Source organism: Homo sapiens, chromosome 14 (assembly GCF_000001405.40).
Source record: "Homo sapiens chromosome 14, GRCh38.p14 Primary Assembly".
Lineage (NCBI taxonomy): Eukaryota > Metazoa > Chordata > Mammalia > Primates > Hominidae > Homo > Homo sapiens.
The window spans coordinates 76,761,435-76,773,216 of NC_000014.9; the positions used below are offsets into that span (position 1 = coordinate 76,761,435).

Below are 11,782 nucleotides of genomic sequence, written 5' to 3' on the forward strand. Positions count from 1 at the left end.
CCCTTTAAGGGGGGGACGGAGCGCATGCGCGGCGCGGGCCGTAGTCGAGCCTGGTGGGCGGCTGGCTGGCAGGGGACGTGGTCGGCGGCAGCGGGGCCCAGGGGCGGCGGGGCTGCAGCAGCGGCGGCCCCAGCTTCGCCGAGCAGCGATCGGCTGGTGGGCTTCTCGTTGGCGGGCTCCGCGTTGGCGGGCTGCTCCCCAGGCACCAGCGCAGCGCGCGCTCGCCCGGCTTCGTCACTCGCCTCCAGCTACATCCGCCGGCCGAGGCTGCGCGAGCCTCCGGGCTTGCGGTCCCCGCCCCGCGGTCCTTCCTCCACCCTCAGCCAGGGCAGCTGCAGCCCGAGCGAACAGCCACGGAGCATCCTCCGCCCGCCCGGGCCGCGCCACCGCCCATGCTGCAGCCAGTCCCAGGCAGCGACCCCGCGGCCGCAGCCCGCCGCTCAGTGACCTCAGCCTGGCCCCTGCGCGCCGCCCGAGCCGGTCCCGCTGAGCCGCGGGCCCCGTGCCCTGCGATGGCTCGGCTGGTGCAGCGCGGCGCCAGGTGCCAGCCGTCCTCCCGCTGAGACGCGCCCGAGTGGGGACCCGCTGGGCCTCGGGGCTCGCAGCCTTCGCCTCCCCGCCGCGCCCGCTCCCTTTCTGGGGACTCCGCCGCTGTTTCTGGGGACGAGGGGACAGGGGACCCAGACAAAGCCCACTTTGTGCAGGGAGTTGGCCGCAGGCGGGGAATGTGCGCGTCGGCGCGCGCCCCCTCCCCGCTCCCGGCCAGCTGCGAGTCTTGGCTCCCGGACTTGTCTCGTCGCGTCGGAGAAATCGCCCCCCAGCGCCGCTCTCCCGCCCGGGGGTCTTGGTTCCGAGCTCGCGCGGCCGGGAGTCGCCTCGGTCTTCCTTGGGGCGCGCGCAGATGTGAGCGTGCGAGAGTTGTGTAGGGGATTTTGTTCCCTCCGAAACTGAGACCCAGGGCGCCCAGTGGGCACCCGTGCCTTGACTCTGTCCTTTCTGCAGCCGCTGGTCCGAGCTGTCTGGCCTCAGTTTCCCTCCGACTTTTCTCCGCTCTGCCAGCCCTCACTGCTGCCCGTCATTGTTCTCGCAGTTAGATGGGGGTGCTTTGTGACGGCTGCCAAGTTGGGGTGTGTTCTCTTTATTCCGTTTTTCAAACAGAACAAGGCCTCCAAGGCTGACCCCAGACAACCCACCCCCTCGGACCCTAATTCACCTTATTGCACTGATTTTTTTTATCAAGTCGTATTTTATTGTACAGGAGCCACGCCCTGATTTCTTAAAGGCGCCTTGCACTCTGGCCATGTGTTATCTCTGCAGCCGGTGTGTGGGAGGCCTCTTGTGAGCCAGTTGTTTTCCCGCCTCCACCACCCCCCTCGAAGATTTAGGGATGCCAGGGGGGAAGAAGGTGGCTGGGGGTGGCAGCAGCGGTGCCACTCCAACGTCCGCTGCGGCCACCGCCCCCTCTGGGGTCAGGCGTTTGGAGACCAGCGAAGGAACCTCAGCCCAGAGAGATGAGGAGCCAGAAGAGGAAGGGGAAGAGGACCTGCGAGACGGAGGCGTCCCCTTCTTTGTCAACCGGGGTGGGCTACCTGTGGATGAGGCCACCTGGGAAAGGATGTGGAAACACGTGGCCAAGATCCACCCCGATGGAGAGAAGGTGGCGCAACGGATCCGTGGGGCCACAGACCTGCCCAAGGTGAGACACACGGGTCAGGGGGGTGATAGCACAGTCTAGGTTTTAGTGACCTTGGGGCCAAGAGTGAAGCCACACTCTCCTCCCACGGGGCAGGGGACCACTGGCTCGGTAAGATCTTTAAAATGCAGTGATATCATACCTGTCTAGGAGAACTTTCTCTCACTGCCATTCTAGGAGGGAGGCTCACATACATTGTCTCCAGGAGGCCCTCCCCGCTGTCTTTTAAAATGTCCACGTTTTACAGGAGGGGACAGCAGCAGATGGAACTAACAAACACAGTAGGATGGCTTGACGTCTCATTTGCTTGATGACACTTGCCAAGCCAGAGAACTGTGAGCAGACAAATGTAATGAATGACTAAGGAGATGCAGGGCTTCATATGTTGAGAAAATATTTTCGTGCATTATGTCATTGAATTCTCCCAACAGCCTTGTGACGTAAGTACAGTTTGGATTCCCATTTTACAGATGAGAAAGCTGAAAACTCAAGTAGGAACTCAAGATCCCACAGCCAGTAAGTGGCAGAACTGAGATTCAATTTCAGGTCTTCAGGAGAAGGGCGGGGGGTGGTGGTGGAGGGAAGTGTCCAGGTCCTCTTCTCTGTTGGACAGTAGATTCAAGCACATTAGAAGAGGTCTTATGGAGAAGCATAAAATGAAATAATTTTTCTGTGTTGGCTGTAACTCCTCCTCCATGACAGCTATACTTCAGTTGTGTCACCAACGAAAACAGAGGCTGTATCTCATTCATCTTTGTCTTCCCAAGGCCTCCTGTGTGCCTGGCACAGAACAGGCACTAGTGTGTGTGTTTGCTGAATGAAAGGGTATTTGAGAGTTTCTGTGCTGTACGCTGCTATATGGAAATACATGCCAGATATTAAAAAAAAAAAAAACATGATCAAGACTAGGAGGCACTTTGCCAAATGCAGAGGCCTGAAATCTCCAAAAAAGAGCCCTTTGGACTGAGTTCAGAGCCCAGTGCTTAGCCCTGCCTGCCCAGGTTGGAAGGAAGGGGGCTAGGAAGAATGGAAGTTAGTGTGAATTAGACATGAGGACAAGTGGCCCGTTTTGTTTTTACCAAGTTATTGGTACAGCCATCAGAAAGTGTCTTCTGGGAAAAAGAGAATCAAAGGTTGAAGGTTTAAATACTGCCTAATGTTTCCAGGGGAAACAAAATGTAGATTGATTTGGAATGGCCGCATAAATGTGCTCTGCACTGACTTAATATTTATTTAGCTAATCCCCTAGAGTTGGATGTTGTTTCCAGTTTTATTCCTAAAATGAATACTATGGTGAACATTCTAAAATATAAATTTTGGGGTTCATCTCTGATTATTTCCTTGGGAAAAATTCTGAAAGCGAAAGTATTGCGTCAAAGGATATTGACATTGGTAGGGGTCACCTGCTTATCTATATGGCCTCTTCCACCTATTTGAGATGCAGTTTTCTTATCAATAAGATGAGGTTGATTGTGGGGAAGAAATGAGAGACTGTGTGTTAAAGTATTTAACAAACTGTAAAGCCCCAAACCAGTACCTGGTTATTGGATATCAGTTACCTTTTTTTTTTTTTTTTGAGATGGAGTCTCACTCTTTCCACCAGGCTGGAGTGCAGTGGCATGATCTTGGCTCACTGCAGCCTCCACCTCCCTGGTTCAAGTGATTCTCCTGCCTCAGCCTCCTGAGTATCTGGGATTGTAGGCACCTACCACCACACCTGGCTAATTTTTGTATTTTTGGTAGAGATGGGGTTTCATTTTCAACATTTTGGCCAGGCTGGTCTCAAACTCCAGACCTCAGGTAATCCACCCACCTCAGCCTCCCAAAGTGCTGGGATTACAGGCGTGAACCACCACGCCCGGCCAGACATCCATCACCTTTACTTATGTGCTTTATCAAGCGGCAAGACTGGGTTTTGCTCAGATCATTTGTCCCGATGAGGCCAGAGTCACACCCTGCTCCCACGTGAACAAGTCGGGCAGCTCTCCAGCCATCTTGCTTATGTCTAAATCAGGCCATAAAAGAGTGTGAATGGTTCCCTGCAGAACTGCCACCACTCCTGGGAACTAAAAAAGAAATAGTGAGCTCACTAGTAACTGGTCTGTAATGTCATTCTGTCATCTTCAGTCCTCATGTACAGGAAAGACACGGATGAAGGAAGTCTAGGGGTGGGGGCTGTGTTGTGACAGACCCCTAGACTTCCATCGCTAGGGTAGAAGGAATTTTGTGAGAGGTTTGGAAAAATTTGAACCTCCCCCTCTTCAAACCACAGATCTCAGATAAATCGCATGAGTCTGCATGAGGTCCCTCCTCTACCTGGGCTCTGAGTAGAAAGGTACCCTTAGAGTCTGGGAGTGCAGTGGAGTCCAGGAGGCCTTGGAGAGAAGCAGCGTGGGTTGGGTGCCTGGGTGCCAGGGTGCCAGTGGCAGGGTGGGCTGACCCCGCCCTTACCATCCCTAGGGGCCATGCCACTGGAGCTGGCACAGGGTCATTCCCTACAGCGGCCACACAGTGTGGGGCTCAAGAAGTGTTTTGTTGGGAAAATTGGGAGATTTCTCACATAAAGATCCAGAGTTTTGGCATCTTTTCAGAAAATAAGAAGACTTGGGAACACATGGGAATCTGCAGTCCCACGTGGCAGCTGTCAGCTGGGGCTGGGGAGTGAGTCCTACTCCCCCATCTTGCCACTGTCTCCACCACTCACCTACCAGGCCTGCCTGCCCCGTGTATGTTACTTGCCCGGCCCCTGCATGTGGTTGAGTCTGGGACCCCTGCAGGCTGGTGTCATAAAAGGAGAGCACTCTGGAGTCAAAGCTACCATGTTCAAATCCTTGATCTCCCATAACTACTTATATGAGGAAGACAGGCAACTTTCTTGTGCCTCAGTTTTCCGCAGCTGTGAAATGGAGCTAATAGCAATGCCCATCAAGAGGATGTTAGAGGAATTAATGATGCAAAGCATGTGATGCTTCATTAAGTGCCTCTAATAGATACCCAGTAATGGAGCAGGGAGTGAGTGTTCATCGACACCCCACTAGCGCTTTGGAGAAGCAGCCTTTACAGGGATGATGCCAGTATGTTATAGGGCAACAATTTCTAGAAAGATCCCAAATCCAGCAACAGCTTAGGCTCCTTGATAAGAGTCTGTCCTTGATGTTTCAGGCTTCCACCCCCTTTAAAAGCTTAGTGGCCACTGACCCCAGACCCAGCTGCTGAAGGTCTTTTATGGTCTCTTATGGCTCAGGCCACAGAGCTCCTGCAGAATGGGAATTTGGACATCTCCTCTAGCTACTTATTATGACTCCAGAGTGCTTTCCTTTGATTTATTTATGAGACAGCGTCTCGCTTGGTCACCTAAGATGGAATGCAGTGGCACAGTCATGGCTCACAGCAGCCTCTACCTTCTGGGCTCAAGTGATCCTCCCACCTCAGCCTCCAGAGTAGCTGGGGCTACCGGTGTGCCCTACCATGCCTGGCTAATTTTTTTATTTTTTGGTTGAGATGGGGTCTCTCTATATTGCCCAGGCTGGTCTCAAACTCCTGGGCTCAAGCCATCCTCCCGCCTCAGCCTCCCAAAGTGCTGGGATTACAGGCAGGAGCTACTACACCCAGCCTGGACATCTCCTCTAAAAGGGTAACGTTGCTGGGATTAGCATGTGCGAGGCACACTGATAATGATGACAGTGAACACAAATTAAGTCTGTGCTGTGTGCCTGACCCTGCTCTAAGGCCTCGACCTGCAGCATCTCATTCGCACTATAAGGCTGATTTTGTGTTGGTGCCCACTTTATAAATGAAGTGTCTGAGGCACAGGGGAGGTCAGGAGCTTCACTAAAGTCACGACTAGGCCGGGTGCGGTGTAATCCCAGCACTTTGGGAGGTCGAAGCAGGTGGATCACTTGAGGTCAGGAGTTCGAGACCAGTCTGGCCAATGTGGTGAAACCCCATCTCTACTAAAAATACAAAAATTAGCTGGATGTGGTGGTGCATGCCTGTGATCCTAGCTACTCTGGAGGCTGAGGCAGGAGAATCACTTGAACCCAGGAGATGAGGTTTTCAGTGAGCCGAAGTTGAGCCACTGCACTCCAGCCTGGGCGACAGGGTGAAACTCTGTCTCAATAAATAAATAAATAAATAAATAAATAAATAAATAAATAAAAAGTCACGACTGTAAATGGCAGAGCTGAATATCCATAGTGATGATCTAGTTGGAGACTCAGCCCTATTGCCCTCTAGGCCACACTTTTTGGGCGCACACATCCAGCTGCAAGCTCTCCCCACCTCCCCCAGGCCTCATTGTGTTCGATTGAAATAGACCCCTCCAGTGAGAATGTCTCTGTAGAACTCAGGACTAGGGGTTCCTGGAGCCGGGGGAATCCTTGGCCTTGGCTGTGGAGGAGGAGTGCTCCCTGGGGAGATCTGGTGGCTATACCACTCCCCCTTACCGTGCCCCACTTAAACCCACCACTCAACAGTGAGGAAATATTTCCCGACTCCTGTTTCGGAGGTGGGGGTGAGGGGCAAGACCTAAAATGGGCCTGGTCATTTGCATATATAGAATCTTTCTTATTTGTGTTTGAGTGAACGAGTCTATGTAGGTAATGAACATTCAGACAAAAAGGTGCAGGTGCTGTCTGCAGTGGGGTGACATGAGTCAAGGAGCTAGCCTCGGTGATGGTGGCCTTAAGGTCTTGCCTCTGAATCCCCAGGTATTTTCTTGACCTTCCTTCTCCCAGAGCAGCCAGCTCCTAGGTCCTTTGTCTGCACAGCAGGTGCTAGTGCTTTCGTGGGTACTGCCTGGTCCCGGCCCAGGCCTGGCTCTGGGTGAATGATCCAGTCCTGGGACTGCAGCTCCCTTTTTGCAGCTTCTTGTGGGAGGGTGTACTACAATCTTTATCCCAAGCTCCTCAAGGTCACTGGATCCCCACTTGTGCATGGGGATAATCTGCATGCTTCCCTGCCTGGCAGGGGCTGCCACCTGCAGAGATCAGGTGACTGGGTGGATGTGCCATGCTATTTAAATTGCTAAGTAATTCCTCTAATTCCCCTTCCACCTCCCCACCCCTGTATCCTTGACATGGGGAGGCCAGGCCAGGCCCTGGGGCCCATTTGGTACAGAGTGGCCAGACAGGAAGAGGGGGGAGCCCCCCACCCCGGGTTTTATCTTGCTGGTGACTGTAAGTGGTGGTGCCAGTTTGGGGAGGGGGAGCAATGTGAAAGGGAAATGGCTCCCTCCAGACAGAGACGTCAGCGGCTCAGGAGCCAGGGCAGCCAGTGCGGTTGCTAGGGACTCCCCAGACAGGAAGGAGAAGACCGACGGGAGGGAGGGTGAGGAAGTGCAGGCGACGCTGTGGCCCTGGACCAGGGCCCCTTCCCTCCTGCGTCTCCACCCCTTAGAGGAGGTGTCTGTCAGACACTGTCCCGTGTGCCTGTGCCATCAGCAACACCCCAGACATGAGTGTGCAGTGATAACTGGAGTGTCACTTCCCTCCTTGTCAGAGCCCCAGCCACTGCGGTCACATTATTTAAAAAGCTGGGCTGGCATCTCCACCACTCGAGAGCCTCCCCAGGAAAGGAGGAAAAGAGCTTCATCCTTCCCTCCTTACCCAGCCCTACCCCCTTCCCTTCACACGTGCCCCTGAGCACAGACTGTGACTCTCAGCAGTCCCATCGGGTGGGTGGGCTCAGTGTGGCCTTGGAGGGCCGGGTGGAGGCTTGGGGGCAGGGGGTGGGACCTCTCTATGTGGGGAGCCTTACAGCTACTGTGCTGGTGGACAAGGGGGAGCCCTGAGGGGTGGGCCTTTTCCCTGGAAGTCTGGTTCTTCTACCCAAGGAAGTCTGTTCTGAAACCTCGGAGGACCCTAGCTGATGTATCTCTTGGCCTCCTTGGCCTCACTGACTTGTTGGCAGCCAAACTGCCAGATCCGGGCTCCCCTGGCTGGAGAGGGTCCCATACTGGCATAATGGTCTCTTTTCTGGAGACTGGAGGCTGAGGGAAGCCTGGGGGTCAGCTGTTCTTGACCTTACCCCCAGCAGCCTCCAGGCTCCCAGGCATCGGGAAACACTGCCTGTTCTCTCCTCTGCCATTTCTGGGCTGGGTGCTGGAAAGTGCGTTCTGGGGAGGAAGACTGTCTGGGTACCTGGAAACCTGTACTGACTAGGTGTGGAGCTGGCAGGAAAGAGAAGACTTGGAGGAGGACCCGGCCCCTCTGTGCATGCCCCAGCCACAGAGCTACAGCAAGACCTGTTCCAAAATATGTCCTTCTGGCCTGCTACCGCTGACTGACTCCTTGACAGTTCAAGTTGGTGCTCTGGAAGGCATGGCGAATATGCCCATGATACTGGGTGGGTCCCCTACCAAGGATGCTCACCCCCCTCAGGACCACTCCCAAAGCCTAGGGCACCACCTGAGAAGATGGGACCCCGGATATACCAGCTTTGATCCGGCGCTTGAACCAGAGCAAACTTCAAACCTAAAATAACCCCAATATTATATTCTTAAGTCTTGAAACTAATGAATATTTAAAATTTAAAATAGTCAGTGAATTAACCTATGTTTTTCTGAAGTTATTAAAGAAGCATAAAATTGGAACATCAGCATACACTCTGAATGAGGAATGCTGTTAAGTCCCAGGAGGGAAGGAATGGCTGGGCTGGGGCCCTGGCAAGAGTCTTCGAATGAGTGGGGTGCCAAGAAAGGAAGCTCAAGTGGGAGGGAGGGGAGGCTGTGCCTCCCCAGGGTGGGGCGCCTCTGGGGCCAGTCCTAGGTGTTTGGTGGACTGGAAGCTCCAAGGTGAGCCTCTTCTTGTGACCGGAGCTCTTTCTCTGTCCCCAGATCCCCATACCGAGTGTGCCTACGTTCCAGCCGTCTACACCTGTCCCTGAGCGCCTGGAAGCTGTGCAGCGCTACATCAGAGAGCTGCAGTATCCTCTCTGGTCAAGGGTCATGGCCACCTTCTGGCCGGTGTGGTGGGCCTTGTTTCCAGGCAGAGCTGGAGAGGTATCAGCAGAGCCGCCTCATTCCACAACGCCAGGGCCACCATTCACGTGACATCTCTGTGCTCCCTGGTGCTGTGGGACGCGGCGCGTGTGCCTCCTGGGTGTCGGAGGAATTTTGTCTGATGAGTGCAGGGCCCACTCTGCACTCTCTGCCACCCCCTTCCCGCTCCTGCCGTGTGATGGGGTAAAGAGAGGAAAATGGGTCCTGAGTGACTTGCTGGTGGGGTGGCCAAGTCTAGATAGATCTGCTCTGTTGTCCACCCAGCCCTAGCAGAGGGGGAGAGAGGGAGCTGCCTTGGGGCTTTTAAAAGTCTGATTTTGAATAAAGGGAAAAATGGCAGAGAAAAAGGATTTTCTGCTCCAGGAGGTAACTTCAGGATCCTAGAATTTTCTCCAGTTCTTCTCCTTTTTTTCCCTGGCAGTAGGATGGTTGGCCAGCAGGGGAAGAGCTGGGCTCCCCTGGGCCCAGATTCCTCTGTGTCCCTGCTCTAGCCCCTGCACCCTGCCCCTGCACCCTGCCCCAGAGCTGTGTGTCCTGGGTCCTCTCTCCCAGGCTTCTGGCTGCAGAGGTCAGAGATGGGAGAGCTAGGCATGGGTCCTGGGTCGGGAGAAGCCAGGCTGATGACTGCATATCGGGTCCAGCTCCTCCTTCTGCCAGTGGGGAAACTGGTCCAGTGAGGCAGGTGGCTGGCTCAGGAGCAATTAAAGGCTGAGTTGGACCCCCTACCCTAGCCTCCTCTCAGTTCCTGTGGCTTCTCAGCTGGTTGGAAGATGAAGTGCTGTAGGGCGCTGTTCCCAGCCACAGCCTCTTTCTGGCCCTCGCCGAACTGGTCGCCTGCTCCATGTCTCTTGTCCTAAGAAGAGAAGCCAGGGGAGAACAAGGGAGAAAGCCAAGGAGGGTGAGGGAGAGGGAAAGAGAAGGAGGCGTGAGGCGGGGAGAAGAATTCATGCTGTGCCCCCATCTCCCCTCCAGGAGACTTGGCTCTTGAGCTTCAGGATAGGCAGGAAGAGAGGGTCAACCTCCTTCAGGCCAAGCTAGGAAGCCCTTAACCCGTGCCCACAGGTACAATCACACAGGGACACAGTTCTTTGAAATTAAGAAGAGCAGACCTCTGACAGGGTAAGTATGGGGAGGCCAGTCCTCTGCCCCAGGGCTGGCTTGGAGCTTCTTGAAAGCCCTATAGTGCACCTTGGAGAGGAAGTTTATGGGGCAGTCAGGGACTCTTCTGAAGGAAGCCAGCCTTTGGGGGCAGGTGCCACCCTGGGGCCTTATGGATGTCATAAAGAGAAAAATCCGGCTGAGATGAACAGCCAGGGCTGCCTTGATGAAAAGGAAATCCCGGGTCCATGCTGAGCTAGAGGGTGGGAGAGCCGCCCCCAGCTCTTGCCTTGGCCAGGAGAGAGGGTGGTCCTAGGTGGATTGTAGGTGAGCCTCAGATCTTTTGTTTTTTAGTGAGAGGTGGACCTTGCAGGAGAGAGCCCTCCCTTCTCTGTTCTGCGGCTGCCGCACTCCCCATTGCTGATTCCCATTGCAGGGTACTTGCATGGTCACCCCATTTGCCTTACTCCGTGGACTCTTTTCTGGGCATTGAGTAGCAGGCTCAGGGTCTGAGCACAGGGAGCTCCCTGGAGAGAATGTTGCATCTCTCACTTCCCATCCCGCCACCCCGTGTGTAGCCCCCTGCCTGGATTCACTTCCCCTGGAAAGTTTCTGCCCATGAAGCCCCGAGGGCAGAGGAGAGTGAAGAGTGAATGCCACAGCTGGGTCTAGGGGCTCTGCCCAAAGATGCCCACAGACTTAAGACCCCTGGGCTTTAAAAATTCATGTGAATTGGCCAGGCACGGTGGCTCACACCTGTAATCCCAGCACTTTGGGAGGCCGAGGTGGGCGGATCATGAGGTCAGGAGTTTGAGACCAGCCTGGCCAACATGGTGAAACCCCATCTCTACTAAAAATACAAAAATTAGCTGGGCGTGGTGGTGGGTGCCTGTAATCCCAGCTACTTGGGAGGCTGAGGCAGGAGAATCGTTTGAACCTGAGAGGCGGTGGTTACAGTGAGCCGAGATCACGCCACCGCACTCCAGCCTGGGTGACAGGGCGAGACTCTGTCTCAAAAGAAAAGAAAAAGAAAAAGAAAAAAAATTTCATATGAAGTTTACATCTTGCCCCACACATAATCTATGTTTGCTTCTTTGTGAAAATGCATTTAAATGGCTTATTAGCAAAATTACTTAATTACACCCTCTCCGAGGCCCTGGATGGAGTCCACCCTCCCTATCCCCAAAGCTTTGCTTTTGTTGGCCTGTGGCTGCTGTGTGCTGGGGAACCACTCCAGCCTTACTTGGCATGGAGGAGTCTGGGTGCCCTCCTGGGCAAAGCCAGTGACCAGGCTGAATTCCCAGGCTGGGGACAGAGGGAGGAACCACGCCTCAGGGAAAGGCTGTCTTAAAATGGCCTGAATTCCAAGTTCAGGAGCAGATCTGTAGTCAGCAGGTAACTATCTGCCTAAGATCCCACATCCAGGCTCAGGCAGCTGCGGGGAGGCAGTTGCAGTCAATTAACAAGCTCCTGGGAGAAGCCATGGTTGGGTCAGTGGTGTCTACTGTGCTTCAGAAGGGAAGAGATCGATGCTGACGTCCCTCCTCCCCCGACTGCCTCGCAGAAGGCCCCAGCCTGGTGGCTGGAGAGAAGTTGCCCCCAGCTTCTGCTGCCCTCCCCCAGAGCTCTTTGGAGCAAGAGCCAGGCGTGGGAGGTGGAAGTGAAAGAAGGGAAGAGCAGGGAGAGTGGGCCTCCTTCCTATCAGCAGTGGCCGCCTCTTTCCCACCCCCTCAGGCTCCAGACTTCCGTCCGTCGGGAGTGTGGAGGGAGGTGCTGGGCCTGAGCTGAGAGCAGCTTAGGGGGCAGCCTCTGTCCTTCTAGCATTTCTAGTCCACCCTGCCCCCTCCTTCTCACATTCCCCTGGAGGGGCTGGAGGCGCTGTCCTTACTGACCTGCCTCCCTTTCCCACAGGCTGATGGACCTGGCCAAGGAAATGACCAAAGAGGCCCTGCCAATCAAATGCCTGGAAGCCGTGATCCTGGGAATGTATC

The 11,782-nt window shown here is 54.7% G+C and overlaps 1 protein-coding gene across 7 annotated transcripts in view, besides 2 other annotated features; it reads left to right on the plus strand.

The window, feature by feature from the left end:
- Positions 1-190: a silencer, noted in NCBI's record as "silent region_5957". NCBI's record gives its function as "represses an Ori minimal core promoter by ATAC-STARR-seq in GM12878 lymphoblastoid cells {active_cell/tissue: GM12878}" and the evidence as "EXISTENCE:reporter gene assay evidence [ECO:0000049][PMID:35858748]".
- VASH1 (vasohibin 1) overlaps positions 34-11,782 on the plus strand; it is a 21,548-nt gene continuing 9,799 nt past the window's right edge. The window contains exons 1-6 of one of the 7 annotated variants that reach the window (XM_047431082.1): positions 34-1,696; positions 2,125-2,209; positions 7,855-8,038; positions 8,529-8,617; positions 9,756-9,812; positions 11,703-11,777. In XM_047431082.1, coding sequence (XP_047287038.1) covers positions 11,707-11,777 — 71 coding nt within the window. In that variant the 5' untranslated portion in view covers positions 34-1,696; positions 2,125-2,209; positions 7,855-8,038; ... (1 more) ...; positions 9,756-9,812; positions 11,703-11,706. Of the gene's footprint in view, positions 1,697-2,124; positions 2,210-7,245; positions 8,039-8,528; positions 8,618-9,755; positions 9,813-11,702; positions 11,778-11,782 lie in introns of those variants that run through there. The other 6 variants (XM_047431083.1, XM_017021087.2, XM_047431084.1 and 3 more) reach the window with 6 other exon arrangements.
- Positions 291-560: a silencer, noted in NCBI's record as "silent region_5958". NCBI's record gives its function as "represses an Ori minimal core promoter by ATAC-STARR-seq in GM12878 lymphoblastoid cells {active_cell/tissue: GM12878}" and the evidence as "EXISTENCE:reporter gene assay evidence [ECO:0000049][PMID:35858748]".